Here is a 21,416-nt window from a genome sequence, read left to right as displayed (position 1 = left end):
TCATGGTGGAAGGCAAGGAGGAGCCAGTCACATCTTACATGGATGGTGGCAGGCAAAGGGAGAGTAGGGGAACTCCTCTTTATAAAACCATCAGATCTCATGAGACTTATTCACTATCATGAGAACAGCATGGGAAAGACTTGCCCCCCATGATTCAATTACATCCCACCAGGTTCCTCCCACAACACATGGGAATTCAAGATGAGATTTGGGTGGGGACACAGCCAGACCATATCATTCCACCCTGGCCCCTCCCAAATCTCATGTCCTCACATTTAAAAACCAATCATGCCTTCCCAACAGTCTTCCATGGTCTTAACTCATTTCAGCATTAACTCAAAAGTCCACAGTCCAGTGTCTCATCTGAGACAAGGCAAGTCCCTTCCACCTATGAGCCTGTAAAATCAAAAGCAAGTTAGTTACTTCCTAGACACAACAGGGGTACAGGCATTGGGTAATACAGCCATTCCAAATGGGAGAAATTGGCCAAAACAAAGTGGGTACAGGCCCCATGCAAGTCCAAAATCCAGCAGGGCAGTCAAATCTTAAAGCTCCAGAATTATCTCCTTTGACTCCATGTCTCACATCCAGGTCATGCTGATGCAAGAGGTGGGTTCTCATGGTCTTGGACATCTCTGCCCCTTTGGCTTTGCAGGGTACCACCTACCTCCTGGCTGCTTTCATGGGATGGCATTGAGTTTCTGTGGCTTTTCCAGGCACACAATGCAAGCTGTCGGTGGATCTACGATTCTGGGATCTGGAGGATGGTGGCCTTCTTCTCACAGCTCCACTAGGTGGTTTCCCAGTAGGGACTCTGGGTGGGGGCTTCAACCCCACATTTCCCTTCCACAAAAATGCCCTAGCAGAGATTCTCCATTAGTGCCCTGCCTCTACAGCAAAATTCTGTCTGGGCATCCAGGTGTTTCCATACATCTTCTGAAATCTAGATGGAGGTTCCCAAACCCCAATTCTTGACTTCTGTGCAGTTGCAAGCTCAACACCACGTGGAAGCTGCCAAGGCTTGGGGCTTGCACCCTCTGAAGCCATGGCCTGAGCGTTATGTTGGCACCTTTCAGCCATGGCTAGAGCAGTTGGGAGGCAGAGCACCAAGTCCCTAGGCTGCGCGCAGCATGGGGACCTTGGGCCCGGCCCACAAAACAATTTTCTCCTAGGCCTCTGGGCCTGTGATGGGAGGGGCTGATGTGAAGACCTCTGACATGCCCTGGAGACATTTTCCCCTTTGTCTTGGAGATTAGCGTTAGGTTCCTTATTACTTATGCAAATTTCTGCAGTGGGCTTGAAATTTTTCAAACTTTTATGCTCTGCTTCTGTTTTAAAACTGAATACCTTTAACAATACCCAAGTCACATCTTGAATGCTTTGCTGCTTAGAAATTTCTTCCACCAGATATACCCTAAATCATCACTCTCAAGTTCAAAGTTCCACAAATCTCTAGGGAAGGGGTAAAATACCGCCAGTCTCTTTGCTATAACATCACAAGAGTCACCTTTGCTCCAGTTCTCAACAAGTTCCTCATCTCCATCTGAGACCACCTCAGCCTGGACCTTATTGTCCATATGCTATCAGGCTTCTGGTCAAAGCCATTCAACAAGTCTCTAGTAAGTTCCAAACTTTCCCACATTTTCCTGTTTTCCTCTGAACCCTCCAAACTGTTCCAGCCTCTGCTTCTTACCTAGTACCAAAGTCACTTCCACATTTTCAGGCATCTTTTCAGCAATGTCCCACTCTACTGGTACCAATTTACTGCATGAGTTCATTTTTATGGGGCTGATAAAGACATACCAGAGACTGGGCAATTTACAAAAGAAGAGGTTTAATTGGGCTTACAGTTCCACATGGCTGGGGAGGACTCACAATCATGGTGGAAGGCAAGGAGGAGCAAGTCACTTTTTACGTGGATGGTGGCCGGCAAAGAGAGAGAGCTTGTGCAGGGGAACTCCTCTTTATAAAACCATCAGACCTCATGAGACTTATTCACTATTATGAGAACAGCATGGGAAAGACTTGCCCCCATGATTCAATTATCTCCCACCAGGTCCCTCCCACAACATGCAGGAATTCAAATTGAGATTTGGGTGGGGCCGTAGCCAAATCATATTATTATTGAATTGGGGTGACCATTTACTTAGCTTCTATATTTGTTAACTTTTCTCAGACATGTCTATAGTAGCATCTGTACATCAAATTGTAAGCACTGATGTTGAATACCATTCAATCAGTTGCTTTCAGAATACCTTAAGATTAGAAACAAATTCACGTTTGTCTTCCCTATTGTGTCAGTTAGATACTGGCTGTCAGGGTGGCCCTTCATTTATCAACGAGATGGATTGATCTGCCTCCAACACGTGGCATTATATTTAATCCCATCAATTATCCCCTCTATGACATTCCCTGTTGCTTCCTGATTGGCCAAACAGGCCACATAGCTCACATAGTCCTCCTCAAAGGGCCATGCATACAATGAACAATTCCTAAGATCTTGGGCACCCGAAATACTTGGCATCTGTGAAATAAAATATGTTATTAATTGTTATTTCTTATTAATTCTCAAGGGAGCACTGGGATGATTTTCCCTGAATGTTTTTGATAAATATTGAGATTATATTTTTCTTCCAAGTCCTGTTTTTTAAGTGAAAGCTGAATAACTAGAGTGAAACCCGAAAGCCTGAATCATGGCCTCCAATTTAATATTTCCAGGGAAAGTGCTACCTTTTCATTTAAACTGGACTCACAAATCCATATTTCTTCTCTCTCTTTTCTCCTAAGTCTGACAAGAATGGCTTTCTCCGAACTCAGCCAGTAGCAAGTCAAACCTCCTAAAGGAAATTATAGTGAGAATGGGAGGGGAAGGCTGACAGTTATCAGCACACAATATGACAAGAGCATCCATCATGTCTGCGTTTAGGCCCAGGGTCTAGGGAGAGGAAAAAAGCAATAAAGCAAATAAAAGTGCGGAGCCTCGCTTGATGTATCCGTAAACTCAATGAATGTTAACCTCTCCCTGGAACCCTGGGTTTCAGTCTTTGCCTTCTTCACACCTGTGGTTGTCATTAGGTGTCTTCTGGACCCAAGGGAAGTACAAAGCTCTGCTCCATCAACAGCTCTTTTGGGTTCTTATTTTTATTTTTGTGCTCAATAAGTACTTTTTATTATCCTACTTCGCATGATGTTTAATCATCAAATGTTTTATTCAAGGATATACTGTTGTGAATAAGTATGTTTTTCTATTTTAATATTTTTTATTTTTAATTATGGTAAAAATACTAAGCATAACATTTACCATCTTAACCATTTTAAATTGTACAGTTCAGTGGTGGTAAGTAAATTCATATTGTTGTGCAACAGATTGCTATAACTTTTTAATCTTGCAGAACTAAAACTCTATGCCAACTGAACAACAATTCCCCATTTCCCCTCCCCACAGCCCCAGCAACTGCCATTCTTTTTTCTTCTGTTAATTTGACTGCTTTAGATAACTCATATAAGTGAAATCACATAGTATATGTCTGTCTAACTGGCTTATTTTATTTAGTATCATGTTCTCAAGGTTCATCCATGTTGTAGCATGAGGCAGGATTTCCTTCCCTTTTAAGTTTGAATAATATTCCATTAGGTATATACCACATTTTCTTCATTTCATCTACTGATGGACATTTGTGTTACTTCTACCTTTTGGCTATTATGAATACTGCTGCTATGAGCATGGGTATGTTCTTTGGGTTCTCTTATGCACAAATGTGCAAGCTTACGAAAAAATGTTCCAATGCTCAGGGGACAAATAACAGTTAGCACCCCTTTTGGAGATCCTATAAGACTTTGAAGTTGCTAGCCTACAAACTACTATTTAGAAATTTGTGCAAAATACCTTGCTCTAGAAAGGCTCTAAATGTAAAGGGAGTGAGGAAATAAGACAAAAAGTATAGTCACAAGTTATCCTTTGCTTAATTGAAGAAGAAAAATGGTAGTTGTAAGAATTAAAATGTATCTGTGAACTTCATCTTTGAGGGCACTTCCATTAGCCCCACAAAGATAAAGAGAGCAGGCTGAGCCAAGGAGACAAGCAGTGGGCACTGGAGTTCTCGCAAAGTCCTCCCACCTTTGGACCACCATTTCATCCCCAACTAATCACCCTACTTTCCACTAGAATAACAATCCACTTTCAACATCATGTCTGAAACACAAAAGTGTGCTGCAGCTCTTTTGCCTGCAGGATAAATTTCACTATCTTCATCCAGCAATGAAAAAATCTCTCTTAAGGGGCCCAGGATTTTCTGGTATCATTCGCCTCCCCACTACTCTTTATTTCATGGAGGCTAAGTGGGGATGATTTAGCTGTTTGACCTGAACTTTTATCTCTAGCCTGTCAACCTTCTAGTAGTGTGATCTTGAACTAGATAGTCTCTTGAAATCCTAGTTTTCTTATCTGCAGAATGGAGATGATATGGCTTACCTTAGTTGTGAGGAATAAAAAAAATAAATAGGATATTTGTTAAAAATCTCAACATTTAAAAAATAAAAAATCTGTTTCCATCTAAAATCTTCTGTCTTATCAATCATTCCTCATCTCTATGCAATTATCCACTGATTAATAGCTTCCTGACTGCAAATTTGCTTTTCATGTGAAATATTCTTCTTTTCATATGAAATGTCAATCTTTCTATCCACCCATTCAAACCTTACACATTTCCCAAGGCTAAGATTAAGTGACAATTACTACACAGATGTTTTTTGAATGACTCTTAAAGGTGACAGGCAGCTTGACAAAGAAATGACTTTGTAATGCATGTAACAGTAAATTTATTTGCCACTAAAGTCCTATTTTTCATCTTCTATGCCACACAACTAACTTAATCTGATAGAGTTCAAGCTTCATTCAATTAGTGGAATAGTATCATTTAAACAATAGCTTTTTACGTTAGGCTTACCTAAATTCACCCCAGTGTATCTACAGTTTCATAACCAACTACTTATTTATTTTTTGAAAAGAAAAAGGAATATTTGGGAGCATTGTGGATAGAGAAGGAAAAGATATGAAGGACAATAGTTACCCATTCATATGTGGCCCAGCAGTTTTTGGTTTTACTCCCCCCACTCTTCATTTCACAGAGGCTGAGTGGGACTGATTTAGCTATTTGACCTGAGCTTTTGTCTCCTTCTTCTACTCCTGGGCTACTGTAGGTTATTTGCATGATGTAGGAATCTTCTCTTAAAATGGTTGTGGCTGGAGATGGATGTGATATTAACAGACCCTGGCACCATGGCTGCAGAGATTTTTCTGTTTTTGTTGCTTGAATTATTCATACAGGAAAGTCATTAGGTTTAAATTAGGATCCAGAGTATTATCTGAATAAGCAAATGGAGTGTCTAGCTGGAGACCTTCCCTGGCCCTCTATCACTCACTGTACTGTCATCTACCACCTCTCTGCTATATCCATTAGAAGCAGGCTTGATCCTGAGTGGTCTTCATTGAAGACTGTTAAACCAGAGGAAGTGATTATTCCACTTTGACATTTCCTCCTAAGACCCAGTCAGAAGAGGATCTGGTTATTATTGGCTCAATGACTTTATCTTAATTGACAGGAATTATGACATTCATGTGGCTAGGTTCTACTAACAAACATAACATTGCCTCAAATTTCTTGTATAATTGAGACCAGTAATTCTCCAATGTCTAAACCTAAACTACTGCAGTTTTTAAATTTCCCTTAAGGGGAAAGAGGCATAACATAATTTAATAAAAAATTTTCCCATACCCAGATTTAAACTTTGATATTCTCTTGAAGACTAAAGAATGAAGACAAACATTAAAAAAGTTTTACAGGAATTTTCTTTATATTTAGTAAAAATGGGCTTAGTGATCTTCCTGTTTCAGTCTCTTTACCCTGTCTACATGACTCAACTGACCATCTGTGATAATGCCCTGTGGCTCTCGACACCCTTTTATGGTGAGAGAGTTGGGTTTTCTGGGAAGTAGATGCCAAGGTAGGTTAGAAATGCCGGACGTTGAATGTGGGGGAAATAAATAGGAGAGTGAACAGAGAAAGGCTTTAGGTTGTGATGCAGGTATTATATCTGTGAGAGGAGGGTGAGAATGAAGGAAGATTGGGTAGGAAGAGCCTCAGACTGTAATGCAGCTCTCAGGAAGTCTCAGCCAGCTCAACGAGGAGCTTTGGTACAATGACTGCCTGTGAAGGAGTCTCATCTTGACAAGAGATACGTGGTCTTGTTTCCCGCAGTTGGTCTGAGGGTTAAAACTGGTACTCACTTCTTCCCTCCTTTACTAAATTTATTTCTAAATTCCCATTGCCTTCCATTTGCTCCTCTGCTGATTTCAGTGGCTGTCATGGTGATATGATACAAATCCTTATTTCTGACAGACCTGAACTTCTAGTAAGTGTCACTTTCTCATGCTTGGGTTTTTGTATATATTTACTTACAGTCACAATCGGGCAAGATTACAAAAGGGCGCCCAAATGGAATCACTTGAGTTTCACACACATATTCCTCCTTGCTGCACTGCGTGATAGAAGTTATAGCTCTTTCCACCTTTCAAGGTCATTTGTCTCTGAAAGAGACTGTCTGTCTTTCATGTTAGTCCTTGGACACAAGAAGTCCAAGTTCCCTGGCAACAGCCACTAATTTTAATTCAATAGGACCCTTCCTGTATCCTCCAGCAAATGGGCACATCCCAACCCCCAATGAGTCTAGGATCTCTAACCATAGAGAGTCCAGTGTTGCAGAGATGGGGAGCACAAAATCCCCAGTGGATTATTGGGAAGTGAGATCATTCCTGCTTTCATCCTTTGGTTCCTGGACCCATGCATTTTTCATATGGGGAATGTGACACCAGATAGAGGGCTCTGATTCAATGTGATACTGCATCTTAGAGGATGGCACCCACTCCTTGTATAGTTTTGCCTCTGAGATGATACTTTAGTGACACCTGCAATAGGAATTCCAGTGCCATATCAGACCAGCTTCTTCTGGACGGTTCAGTTTCAAAGGCCTCTGATGAACTGGCCCCAGTGTGAGAGGTTTGATTTCAGAGACCAAAAATCCAATGTGTGGGTTACTTCAGCATCCAAGTATGTTGATATTGCTTGGCTCTGTGTCCCCACCCAAATCTCATCTTGAATTGTAATCCCCACATGTCAAGGGAGGGACATGATGGGAGGTGATTGGATCATGGAGGTGGTTTCCCCCATGCTGTTCTTGTGATAGTGAGGGAGTTCCATGAGATCTGATGGGTTTTAAAGTGGCAGTTTCCCTTGCGTGCTCTCTGTCTCCTGCTGCCTCGTGAAGAAAGTGCCTGCTTCCCCTTTGCCTTCCACCATGATTGTAAGTTTCCTGAGGCTTCCCCAGCCATGCAGAACTGTGAGTCAATTAAACCTCTTTTGCTTATAAATTACCCAGTCTTGGGTAGTATCTTTATAGCAGTGTGAGAATGGACCAATACATATGTCAGTCTCAATTATACATGAGGAAACTGGGGAAATAACCACAGAGTGAGTTCATAGACTCTAAATACACTGTAAGCCAAAATTTTCATAAGGTCTTATAGCATGGCCCCTACATCACCATACTCTAATAGGGGAGCTATGACAATGCTTTTAAGAATCCAGGTACTACCAACATAGAGCGTGTGTCTAGTAGCTCTCAAAGTATCTGACTATTTCTCTTTCCTCAGTGCAGTTATCTAGGTAAATGGTTATAGGCCTCTTTGTGGAAGGAGTAGGGGAATCATTACATTTTACACATGCTGTGATGCTGCAGGGACCTTCTTCCTGGGGACCTGACCACCTTTTTAAGCAACAGTTTCTGAGTCTAAACGGATTCAGTTTTGGGAAGTGGGCAAGGAATTGTTTATCTGGGAATGTCTTCATTTCTCCTTTAGTTTTGAGGATTTTTTTCTGATTACAGAATTCTTTGTTGACAGTCTATTTTCTAGCACGTAGGGTATGGCTTCCCACTGTATGCTCTCCTCCATGACTCCTGAAGAGAAACCGATTTTAACCTTATTGAGGATCCCTTTCATATGATGAATTGCTTCTCTTTGCTGCTTTCAAGATTTTATCTTTGTTTTCTGACATTTGTTTATGACATGTCTAGTGTGAATATCTTTGAGTTTATATTATTTGGAGTTCATTATGTTTCTTGAATGTGTAGAATACTACTTTTCATCAAATTTGGGGAGTTTTTGGTCATCATTTTTTGAAATTTTGTTTCAGCCCCCTTTTCTCTCAACTCTCAATCTTGGACTCCCATTTTATGTAGGTTGGTATGCTGATGGCACCTCATAGGTCTCTGAGGCTCTATTTATTTTTCTTTTTCTTTCTGTTTGTCAAGCTGGGTAATCTCAATTGAGCATTCTTCTTCAAGTTTGCTGATTCTTTCTTCTGCCAGCTCTATTCAGTTATTGGGCTTCTCTAGCAAAATTTTAACATGTTATTGTACTTTTCAACTTCATAATTTCTATATTTTAATAATTTATATTTCTACTGATATTATCTGTCAATACATTATTCTCATATGTTTCTTTCACTGTTTTTAAGACTTTTTTTTGTTGTTTTTTTAGCATATTAAAAATAGCTGGTTTTACAGAAATACCATTTGACCCAGCAATCCCATTCTTGGTATATACCCCAAGGATTATAAATCGTTCTACTACAAAGACACATACACATGTATGTTTATTGAAGCACTATTTACAGTAGCAAAGACTTGGAACCAACACAAATGCCCATCAATGATAGACTGGATAAAGAAAATGTGGCACATATACACCATGGCATACTATGCAGCCATAAAAAAGAGTGAGTTCATGTCCTTTGCAGGGACGTGGATGAAACTGGAAACCATCATCCTCAGCAAACCAACACAGGAACAGAAAACCAAACACTGCATGTTCTAAGTCATAAGTGGGAGTTGAACAATGAGAACACATGGATACAGAGAGGGGAACATCACACACCAGGGCCTGTTGGGGGCTGGGGGCAAGAGGAGGGAGAGCGTTAGGACAAATACCTAATGCGTGCGTGTCTTAAAACCTAGATGATGGGTTGATAGGTGCAGCAAATCACTACGGCACATGTACACCTATGTAGCAAACCTGCACGTTCTGCACGTGTATCCCAGAACTTAAAGTAAAATAAAAATAATTTGTAAAAAGCTGATTTTAAATGTTTGTCTAGTAAATCGAAAGTCTAAATTTACTCAAGAAGTTTCCATTGACTGCTTTTTTTTTCCCTCTATGTATGGGCAATAGTTTTCTTGTTTCATTGTATGTACCTTAAATTTTTGGCTAAATCTGGACATTTAAAATATATAAAGTAGCAGCTCTGGAAATCAGATTCTCCCTGCTCCTTCAGGGTTTATTGCTGTTGTTGGCTGCTATTCTGTTGCCATTGCTTTGTTAGTCACTTCAGAGTTTACTATTGCTGCTGTTTGCTGCTATTATTCTACTGTTGTTGCTTTGTTTGGTCACTTTTCTGAATTTATTTATTTATTTTTTTGAGACAGAGTCTCTCTCGTCGCCCAGGCCGGAGTGCAGCGGTGCGATCTCGGCTCACTGCAAGCTCTGGCACCACGCCCGGCTAATTTTCTGCATTTTTAGTAGAGACAGGGTTTCACCATTTTAGCCAGGATTGTCTCTATCTCCTGACCTCGTGACCCACCCGCCTCAGCCTCCCAAAGTGCTGGGATTACAGGCGTGAGCCACCGCACCCAGCCGGAATTTATTTTTTTTAAAGTCTGCTTTCTTGGTGATGTGTGGCTAATAAAGCCTCTGCTTGGTTAGCTAAGTGGTCAGCTAATGATGATTTACCCAAATTCTTGGAATCAATGTCTCTGAGCCTTGCTGAGGGTTTCTCTATGTGTGCTGGCACATCTCTGTCAGTCAGTTTACAACTCTTAGCCTTAACTTCCTTCTTGCAAAGAGCCTTAAAATCAGCGGGGGATGATAATTTACAGCCTTTTCTGAGGTTTCCTGAGCATACACATAGCCCTATGCCAGTGCATGGCCTTTCAGATTCCCTGAAATATGTTGAAGCTTTTCAAAGTCTTCTATGGACCCCTAATTCACAAGCTGTTCTTTTAAAATTTCTTTGGATCAGCTTATTTTTTGCCCCATTGTTATCACTGCCACAGTCAACAATGATGTTAAACAATTGTACTGTTTTCTTTCCTTCTTTCTTTCTTTTTTTTTTTTTTTTTTTTTTTTTTTTTTTTTACAAACACTCATGAGAAAAAAGGCTGTTTGCATCAGGTAAACTCTGAGTCAGGTCAAATAAAGACAAGCTCTGCAAATGGAGTTTCCCAGGGAACTTCCAGAGAGATCAAATAATGACATTTTCCTGGAAACTGGGGTTTAAGAGGAGAGGAGAGAAGAGAGTCAAACACATTGAACCCTTCCAGTGGTTGCTAGTCTTCTGGTTTTCATTGTGATTGTGATATTGCTGGTTTTCGAGGCTCCCACAGAACTGGGGAGATGGGAATAGGAATAGGAATAGCGTAAGTTAAAATACCAGGACTTACTTCTCTTAGCAAGATTCAGTAATTTTTTCAAAGAAGTGCTCTCTGGATTGTTGCAAGTCTTTGATTAATTGTCAGAGTCGTGAAAAATTTAATTTGCATTTTTTTGCCAATATTCTCATTTTTTTTAATAAATAAAATATTTTCAGAGCTTTGTACTCCACTATCCTCACTGACATCTCTCAATGTTCCCCCAGTTTTGTCTATTTTTTCTGAATGGCTGCCCATTTATTTTTTGCCTCTCGGCAGGCATAGTGTTACTTTTAGTAAGTCCCCTTGACCTGTGCTCAGATTTTGCTGACAATTATGGTAATTGAATACTTCTGTCTTCTAGTGACTAAGTGGCCCCTCCTGGCCTCTATTAAACAATGGCTGGCACATGGTATATCCTCAGCAAGTAGTAACTGTAATTATTAGTGGTCATTCTTCATCCCCAGGAACTGACCTGATCTACTATGAATTAAATATAATATTAGTCTTAGAAGAGAAATATGTCTACTTCTGACAACAAAATGTATAAACCTGCTTCTACCTACATCAATCTGTTTCTCCTAATTCAATGGAGGTCATGATCTTCCTTTCTACTCAGACCATTATCTCCACTTGCACCCTGGATCTCATTCCTGAGCCTTACAAGTGCTCCGCTTTATTGATTATGCACCTTGTCTTCTTATCTGCAAAGTCTGCCTCATTACTGCCTCAGTCCCATCATAATTTAAACATGCTCAGTGTCTTCTCTAAACTCCACATGGCCTCTGGGTCTATATTTGATTTCATCCACAAAATGAATTTCTACACTTGCTATGTACTCTCCCCACCATCTTCTCATTTCTATTATATTACACTACTTTCTATGCCTCATCTCATCTAAAGCTGCTGTATAGGTCACCAATTACTTCCAGGTCATGAAATCCAGTGGGTGCTTCTCACCTGACATATTTCCTTCTCAGCAGCACTATATACTTCTGACCACTTCCTCCTTTTAGAAACAATTTTTCCTCCTTGGCTTTGTCACTTGTATTTTCCTAAATGTGTTTCTCTGTTATCTCCTCCTAAAATGACTTTTCAGGTTCAACCTCCTCTGCCAGACCATTGAATATTGGTGTTCCTCAGCATTTATTTTAAGGCTCCTTTTTTTTCTTTTAAATCCATATTTAGGCAATCTCATTACTCCTATGTCTTCAATCACCGTTTTTATGCATATAACTTTTACATTTACGTCTCTAGACCAGAGATCTCTTCTGAACTTCAGACCACATTTTCAAATGTGTACTATATACCTTCCATTGTATATCCCAAATGTACACTTCACATTTACGTCTTACACAATACTTACAATCTTCCTTATCTATTTTTCCTCCACTGCTGTTCACATCCAAGCAAAGCATGTCATCTGTTTCAATACCTAAGTGAGAGCCTTGGCGCTACCTTTGAGTTCCCTAACTCTCTCACCTCCACATTCATTAATCCAATATCAAATATGTTGGATCTATTTCCTAAACTTTTCATTCTTTTTCTTGCCTGCAACCATCCTAGTCCAAGCTATTAATATTATTCTCTTAAGCTACTCCTGTGATTTCTTAATTTGTCTACCCTATCCATTCCTGATCTGTGACTACCTTTAATTTATTCACTACAATACAAGACAGAGTGATATTTACAAACATCAAATCTGGTGATGACACTGTATAGACTACATTAAGGTCTTGTATTTAATGCTTGCATAACAATAGATAATTCTGTTTTCTAACATTCAAAGCATTTTTACTTACACATTCTAAGTGTCTTTCACTACTAGGTGTGACATCTATTGGGACACGGCTTAATTGTTTCTCACAAATGTGTCTCCATTGTCACATTTAGATAATGCGTTTGAAAATTACACAGCATTTGGTAGTTTTTGGAAGAGCAATCAGGAACCATTTGATATTTTTTAGAAGAACCAATGCCTGAATAAATTTATAAATATAACTGCAGACTAAAGCTAGCATTTAACCTATTATCTGGCTTTGGCTTTCTATACACAATTCTTGGTATTTTTCTACAGCTAGACAGTCAAGATATGCCAAAGTTTTGCCAAAGACTCTAACCTCTGAAACTATCATGCTTATTTTCTTTACCATTGTAGTAGATTGGAATATTGCCCCAATTCTTCACTATCTTCTATAAATTATTCACTTTTTCCACAGAGATTTGAAGTACCCTCCCACTGTAGGCACAGCATATGCTCCATATTGGGTGTGGCCATGTGAGTTGTATCATTGCGTGAGATGAGACACAAACTGCAGGCTTAAATATGCTGATGTTATTTTGCCTTGCTTTCTTGTGCTTTTGCCATTCCCTTTGAGAAGAACATGCTCTGGGTTTGCTCAATGACAAGGTAGAGATGAATGACACAGATTTGAAGTCCATATGTAGCCTAGAGCCAAGTCCAGCTGACCCATAGCCTGAGTTGAGCCATCATAACCAACCTGCAAAAGTATGGGGGAGAAAAATGAAAGTTTGTTGTTACAAGCCACTGGATTTGGGTGTGCTTTGTTATACAAGGTTATTACAGCAACATTCAACTAAAATGATCACCAACTGAGAAACACAACAATGTTCTTATGACACATATTTTAATCTTGACAAGTTGTTATGAGACTTTTGTACTAATTTTAGCCTTTCAAGCATTTATCTACATTGTCACTCTTTGGAAGTCAGAGATAATATTATTTGAAAGATGAAGTTAAATATAGGACATCAAATCAAGGTCCAATAAAATTTTCCTGATAGTAAGGTATGAACTTGTCCTACTTTCATTTTTGGCAATTCTGCTTCTTATTTCAGTTTGGATAATAATTACCGGTAATCTCTTTCCTTCCTTTGCAGTGGCAATCTCAGTTACTAATGTAACAGAGAAAGTTAGAACTCTATTTTGACATGAATTCTCAAAGGGCCTTTCAGGTCTGATAAGGTCTGATCCTCTAATTAATTAGCATACCTGTGAAACATCAACACTAAATTTGAGAATAACATTGCAAATTCATTTCTATTTATGCTTGCTATTTAGAAATTAGATTCCCCTTTAGGTTTAATTCACAATTATTTGCCAAACCTGTTTGAGACAAATGGGCACGTTTCTGGATTGAACCCCTAGCTAAAAATGAAGTAGTGAAATATGAGAATTATAAAACTTCAGCTGTATTAAGAAAAGGTGATATAGAAAAATGTATATATTTCAGTAAAAAGTATTTTATCATCAAACTAGTTTTTGCTTTTATTGAAATATTGCTTTATTCTCTTTTACACAAGCTTTTTAGGCTGAGAATTATTTATTAAACTAAAATAAATAGAGATATGCAAAAAGAACTTTGGTATGATACACAAAAGATGACAAATTTTAATCATCTGTCATGATACAAGATGGTGGTGAAAATTGGGTGGATTTGGACAAGGGTTGGAAGGACACTATATGTGTGTGTGTATATATATATATAAGTTTTAATTTTTGAATCATATAAATGTACTCTTTCTTTAAAAGGTATATACCATTTAATATAAAGTTTATGACTTAGAATAGAAACTAACTTAAGTAGCCCAGGCAGACTTATATAGCTTTGCATAAATTACATAATGCTCCATGCTTAGTATAATAGCTGGTACTTTACAATAGTCAGTACATATTATCTGAAGTAATAGTTTTTAGGTGAGGTGAAATATTTACTCTCAAAGCTCCACCTGATGTATGTCTGTTCTGACCTTGCTGACTATAACTATTGCTTCATTTAAGGTTATGGGACAATTGATGTGTAAGTGCTATACTGTTACTATTGGGGAAGAGAACTAGCAAGAAAATAGAGCATTTGTATACTTAATTTTATGGACAAGCTACTGGCTTGTTACTATTTTCATAAAGAGGAGAAATATAAATATAAGTCTTATTGGAATTCTATATTCAGTGAAATCCTTCACATTATTGTTAAACAGCTCATTTCTTAGTGGCATGAGATCATCTCAGTTTGTGTGCATTTTTCTCCATTTTGTAAAAGAAAGCTTTGAGAAAGTCCAATTCCAGAAAACATTGTAAAATGGAAATACGAATTTTCCATAAGCAGGCAGAAACATAAATGTTTAATTCAGTTTCCAGCTCTCAACATTTTAAGAACGTGTTTTGAACACCGAGCTTTATTTACATGTGGGCAGGTGGAAATTGTTGGCGGGGGGCGGTGGTTGTCTCTGTAATTTATAATAAGGTAGTGAAGAATTGGGGCAATATTCCAATCTACTACAGTGGTAATGAAAAAAGCATTATAGTGAAAATTAATAAGCTAATGTGTGCAAAGTGCTCTCTTTCTCTGTGTTAATCACCATTGAATATGAGCTGAGGTTATATATATATATATATTTAATATATATGTATTTTTCTGCTTCTTGCATACTGCCTTTCATTTCTTTCTCATGATCTTGAAGGCCTCCCTCTCCAACAACCTTATCCAATTAATTTTGTTATTACATGGAAGATCCACTTGCATGAGATTTATTTTTTTAAGTGACTTAGAAGATTAATTTGGAAGAACAGAATATATTACTTTTTCTGCTGAGCGGGTAGAAAATGAGGTCAGCAATGGAAGTCTTAGCTGACTTAGTTCTGTGCCCCATGAACCCAAGAGGCTCTATTCTCAAACTCAGGGATCATACTCTTGCTCAGTGCTCTGGAGAAGCATGGGGGCATACATCACTATTATCTCAACTTTGGAGCATCCGCTGAGCCAAAGCAAGACAGCAGCTTGAAGGTCTGCATTCCTTCTCCATTGCAGCGGCTTTCTTTCCTCAGGCACTCAATTACTTGAATCACAGAATTAATAGTGACTTTTTAATTTGAGAAAGCTGTTTGAATGTAGTCTTATGAGCTGCAAGACCTGTGAAGCTCCAGGGTAATTTTCTGAAATTCCATTGAGAATTTACAATCAACATGCTCAGACATAGCCCCAGCACATTTTCTACGGAGGCCACAAAGATGAGGGAATCTAGTGAGGGTTTCTTGCTGTCCTTGAAATTTCTGCTTTTGGCAATTGCCAGGCCAGGTCTGGAAGTCCACTATAGAACCTCACTTGTTGAAAAAATTAATGATAATATCAATGATTATATTGAAGTTAATGTGGGAGATAATCTTGCTTATAAATAGAGCCCATAGCAATGTCTTAGCCAGCTCAGGCTGTCATAACAAAATATCATACACTAAATGGCATAAACAACAAACACTTAATTCTCACAGTTCTGTAGTTTGGGAAGCCCAAGATCAAGGTGCTAGCATGGTCATTTTCTGGTGAGGGCCTCCTTCCAGGTTGCAAGCTTGCTGACTTCTCATTGTATCCCCATATGGCTGAAAGAGAGCTACCTAGATTTCTGGCCTCTTATTCTAAGGATACTGATAACCATTAATGATGACTCCATTCTCATGATCTAAGTACTGTCCAAAGGCCCTATCTCTAATAACATCACATTGTGATTAATGTTTCAACATATTAATTTTGCAAGGACACAAACATTGAGTCTATTGTAAGCAGGGAAAACAACAAGAACCCTTTCTAAGTCCCCAAAGGTCCTTTATAAAGACACACACAACACATAAGCACACATGTGTTATAATAGATGATTGATTTCGTGGAAATGGGGATAGGAATTCAATAATGGAGACTTCTAGTCAACAACTGTAATGACTAAAATGAATGCATCTGCAGCGGTTCTAATAATGCAATCTTGACCCCTGCCGACTTAATGTTCCTTTCGGGTTGGCTAAACTTTAGACAGGTTTCTTCTTGACCATAGGCCCTGATTTCCCTTTTTCTTAGAGCATTAATTTTAGAAAAATACAATTATAAATACTTTCTCTGTCCTTTTGATATGTAAATCGATTTCCAGACTTTTGCCAATTTTATAGCCAAGAAAATATCTTTCTTAAGGGCCTGGAAACCATCTCTGAAGTGTAAACATCAAAGAAGATGGTGCCCTGTGCCATCTCCATTCTTTGTGGGAGGATAGGAGTCTAATTTTGATGGAAGTCAATTAACAAATGCAGATGGTTTAATCACAGAGAAAAAGAAGACATTTGCAAATTCAGAAATAACTCAATGTCCTCAACATGTCCATCAATTAATCTCACCCCTAATGTCCTCTAGTACTTTTCCACTTGCTCGCCCCAGTACTTAAAAACACTCCTGCCTAGTGTTTCAGTAAAGTTGAGTTCAGTTAGTTTATCTCCTCTATTGCAGTAGCTTGAATAAAATTTTCCTTGCTCGTTTAACTTTTTTCTGGTGTGAGTTTTTTGTTTGAAACTCTACATGTTCTGGAATTGAAGCAACAAAGTTCATAGTGATAGAAAGATTTAGGAAAGACAGCGAAGGCTGAAGAAGCTTTAAGGAGATTACAGATGGAGAACATGGCATTATATATTCACAACACTAGGAGATGCCTGGCAGTCATGCTTTAACCATAATTCTGATCAGGAAATAAGCTCAAGTTCATTACCTGGAATATAAGAACTAATAGGAAAATACAGAATTGTTCCCAGTTGTGGGTAATATGTTATATTATTTAATGGTAGAAAGAAATATAAATGAACAAATAGTTTAATGCCATATCGGAAATGATCTAGGAGTCTATGGGGGAAACTTATATTCTAACAGTCCACCATGCCCTCCCTGCTACTCTTGAAACTAAGCCACTCACCCACACAAATGTTTAGAAAGCTGTTGTGAGTAGCTTCATACATTCATTCATTTAACAAATATTTATTCAGGACCTATTATGTCCAGAATTGTTTGAGGTGTTGGGGATATAGTGGAGACCAAAGAAGACCAAGTTCTTTGCTGTCTAGTGTGGCAGATAAATGATAAACAAATACAATCTAGAATTATGATATGTGCTGTGAAGAAAAGTACAGCAGGACAAGGGTGATGGGCAATGAAGGGAAGGATGCAATTTAGATACAGTGGTCATGGCAGGCCTCTCTGAAAAGGGGCCACTTGAACATACAGCTGAAGAAAGTGGCCCAGAAAAAACATGAAGGGAGAATGCACGTCTTGAGCCAGGAGGGCCTACCATTTTGGAGGAACGCCAAAAGGCCAATGAGACGTGGAAATAGTGATCCAGGGAGAATAGAAGGAGAAGTAGAAAGATGGGTCAGAGCAGTAGTCAGAGGCCAACTCAAACAGGCCTTGGGGGCAAGGCAAGAGTTCTAAATTTTATTCTTAATGTGATGAGGAACCTTAAAGAATTGAGAGTAGGGTGCTGTGAACCAGTTAATATTTTTGAAAGATAACCCTGGCTGAAAAAGGTAACAGAGGAGTCTAGAGGAAGGTACTGACGTCACCCAGGTAAGAGGCGATGGTGGCTCAGATTAGCATTTCTCAGTCTCAGCACTGTTGACTTTTGATCCCAGATCATTTTTCTTGTAGGAGGCCATCCTGTTTATGGTAGAATGTTTAGCAGCATCATTGGCTTCATCAATGAGTAGAGAGCCAAATAGATGCCAATAGCATTGCAGCACTTATGAAAAGAAAGAAGTATCTTCAGACATTGCCAAATATCCCTTAGGAGGCAAAACCATTCCCAGTGACAGCCACTGACTGAGACTAAGATCGCAATGGTAGAGGTGATGATGAGAAGCTTAAAGGCAGAGCCAACTGTATTTGCCAGCCAATTGAGTGTGGACTACAATAGATAGGAGTCAAAGATGATTCCAAAGTCCCTTAGACAAGGAAGCTCTTTGCGGCTGAGAGGAAGACTGAAGGAGCTGGTAGTCAGAAGCTTATCTGCTGATAGGTAGACAAAGATTCTTCCTTGAAGGGGAATCTGGGGGGCACATCCCCATTTCTATCTCAATACTATCCCAGGACAATCAGACGGCCTCCTATTGCCTGCATCTGTTTTGTATTTTTAGCTCTGTGACTCCCACCAGTACCTCCCCTCATCTTTTCTCTTCTGTATCTTATTTATGTAGTTGTATTTGGTAATTTATAACTATTGGTATAGGAAAAAGCAGATTGGACTCCCCACATTTAAATTTCATTCTCATTCTCAGGCACCACATTTTGTTATTTTCCCTTTGGTCTGCACCACAAAGCCTCGAAGCAAGAAATATTTTGTTCTACTTTTCACCCTAATACTCTGTTAGCCAGACCCATAAAGAGGTGACAAAATCCAATACAACTTGATATGGTACAGAGGAGGAGAAAGATGGTGTGGATTTTACTAGGTCAAGAAACAGTCTTTTTGGGTATTTTCAATAGATTGAGAAGCATAAACCATGATATGAGATTGTATGACACACTCGATTGGGAGCTCTGATTAGTAAGGGGTGGTTGGAGTCTTGGATTTGCGATTAGAAACAGCAATAGATTAGCCTGGCATAGTATTGGCTGGTGAATGGCCTTGGTTGCTGTGCTAAATTCTACAGAGGCAGGGAATGTATCTGCAATTGGGGATTAAATTTCTTTCTGCATTTTAGAGAGATAACTCTGATGGAGGCATAGGTTTTTTGGGAGTAGAAGAATGCATTGGTAGTTTACATTTTGTGGTGGTTTTTTTTTTCCAGACAAGAAGTGAGGGACAAGTAATGCCGTGTCATGCAAATATCACATTATGAACTCATGCCCAGCCTTCCCAACTGGGTCTGCTTCTATCCTTCTTCATACATCTTTGGTCCATGTTAAAACAAATGTCAATGAAAGTTCAGTGAAACATGAAGCAAAGTGGCATGCATTGTCTGGACAGTCACGTAGTGTTCAATTGCTTGCCCAAACCTAAAAAGTCAATTGTTTTTAGGTGTCAAAACATTTTATTCGTACAGAAGGCAGGAAAACATAAATATGTATTTTTGCTGTAGCTTTTAGATATTACAATGCAATTATGGAGCAGCCTATTTAATATTTTTTTCACATGAGTTCACATGTGCTCTTTGTGACTCCCTGCTAGCCCATTATCTAGTAGTAATAATAAGTTCAATAATAATATTTAAATTTTATTTAATACTTCATTGCCAAATGCATTATGTATGTTATTTTAGTTAATTATCACAAAAGTATGAAGTAAGTTTTATTTTTATCTCCAGTTCAGATGAGCACATTTAGACTCAGAAGGGTGGCCCAGCGTGGTGGCTCACACCTGAAATCCCAGAACATTGGGAGGCCAAGGCGGGCATATTACTTGAGGTCAGGAGTTCGAGATCAGCCTGGCCAACATGATGAAACCTGGTTTCTACTAAAAATACAAAAATTAGCCAGGTGTGGTGGTGCATGCCTGTAATCCCAGATACTTGGGAGGCTGAGGTGGGAGGATCACTTGAACCTGGGAGACAAGGTTGCAGTGAGCTGAGATTGTGCCACTGCACTCCAGCCTTGGTGACAGAGTGAAACCGCATTTCAAGAAATAAAAAAAAAGACTCAGAAGGGTGAATTAGTCATTTTCAAGGTCGTATGGCAGGTGAGTAGCAGATCAAGATTGAAGTCCCCATCTACACTATCCAGAAACACAGCTTTTAGCCACCTGTCTTCCATATCAGCTACATACTTTGCTTATTTGGGGATGAGCTATGAAAAGGAATGGAAAGGAGGAAAGATTTTTGCTGGAGGAAAGAGGGTTATAGGAGGAAGAGCTATGATTCAGCACTGTTGGAGGTCACCTTGATTAACAGGATGAATGTTGGTACCATTTACAGAGAAAGAGAATGTTGACAGAGCAGTTGGATGTGTCACGCATGTATTTATGTAACTAAAATTTGTTTTTATTGAACATTTAGATTTTGTGCATTTAAATATCATGGCTTTTAAGGGTATGTTTAACATTTTAGTGTTTGTTAAAAGGAATCAAGTTCGAAACTTTTAAGGAAACTACATCCCTTCAGTGTAAGGTCTGATTTCTATGACAGTGACATTTTCCAAGAAGTTATGTTTTTGATCTATGTTCATCCAAACTCAAATTATTCCATAACAGTTTCATGTTCTTGCTAAGGTGTCCATATTTCTCCCTAAAGCACTAGATAGTTATGCTCTTTCCTGATTGATGTCTTGCCTTTATCAACCAGACTAAGTGGGAGACAAGATAGACTGGAGCAGAGTTCATTCTATAACTAGCTAGGGCTCTCTGAGATAGAAATCTTCAGTGCTAAACATTGTCCCAAATTCTGCAAGTTTACTCACTTTGGAGAAACATGTTATTAACAGTTGAATGAAATGTCTTTAAACATTCATGAAAATATTTTAATGGTTTAAAAATAAATTGTAAACACCTATATATGCAAAACCCTTTATATAATACATATGAAACAAGATTAAGCATAGAAAATGATTTTACCAAACCCTTTAACTTTTCTCTAGTCATATATTTTCTGGTCTTTGTACTTGCAACCTTCCCACTTCATTCTAAACACACACACGCGCACGTGCACACAAACACACACACACACGTCTGGAATTTTCTCCTCTATTTGCCTTGTGAACTAGTTATTCTTCAAGCCCTTTAAAGACCATCTTCTGAATTAGTTATTCTTGAAGCCCTGTAAAGACCATCTTCTGAATCGGGATTATTTTATCTCCCTTGTCCTTCATCAGGTTACAGCTTTCTCCATTTATGATCTGAAGATGTTCTCTGTACACATCATGTTGTGTTCTTCGTAGCTTTATAATCATTTTTGTACTCATATGTGCATGTTAACTCTTAACTCTCTCATTGGACTGTGATACATCAAGAATGGATCTGTGTCTTAACTTTCCACTTAGAGATGAGCTCTGAAAATTCATTCCTTCCTCAAATGCATTACATGTGAGTCAGCTGTCTGATACTATTTGCATATCTGTCCCTTAGCTCCTGAAAGTGGCTAGTCA

The 21,416-nt window shown here is 38.8% G+C and overlaps 1 long non-coding RNA gene across 2 annotated transcripts in view, besides 2 other annotated features; it reads left to right on the top strand.

Annotated features, from left to right (window-relative positions):
* The window catches only part of LOC105374660 (uncharacterized), a 184,231-nt gene that overhangs the window by 104,427 nt on the left and 58,388 nt on the right, over positions 1–21,416 (top strand). The window lies entirely within an intron of this gene.
* Positions 571–1,071: an enhancer, noted in NCBI's record as "H3K4me1 hESC enhancer chr5:13474963-13475463 (GRCh37/hg19 assembly coordinates)". NCBI's record gives its function as "activates a minimal SCP1, AML or CMV promoter by ChIP-STARR-seq in primed H9 embryonic stem cells {active_cell/tissue: H9 hESC(primed)}" and the evidence as "EXISTENCE:reporter gene assay evidence [ECO:0000049][PMID:30033119]".
* Positions 1,072–1,572: an enhancer, noted in NCBI's record as "H3K4me1 hESC enhancer chr5:13474462-13474962 (GRCh37/hg19 assembly coordinates)". NCBI's record gives its function as "activates a minimal SCP1, AML or CMV promoter by ChIP-STARR-seq in primed H9 embryonic stem cells {active_cell/tissue: H9 hESC(primed)}" and the evidence as "EXISTENCE:reporter gene assay evidence [ECO:0000049][PMID:30033119]".

Source organism: Homo sapiens, chromosome 5 (assembly GCF_000001405.40).
Source record: "Homo sapiens chromosome 5, GRCh38.p14 Primary Assembly".
Taxonomy (NCBI): domain Eukaryota; kingdom Metazoa; phylum Chordata; class Mammalia; order Primates; family Hominidae; genus Homo; species Homo sapiens.
The sequence above is the reverse complement of the archived record's forward strand: the minus strand, read 5'-3'. Positions and strand labels throughout refer to the sequence as shown.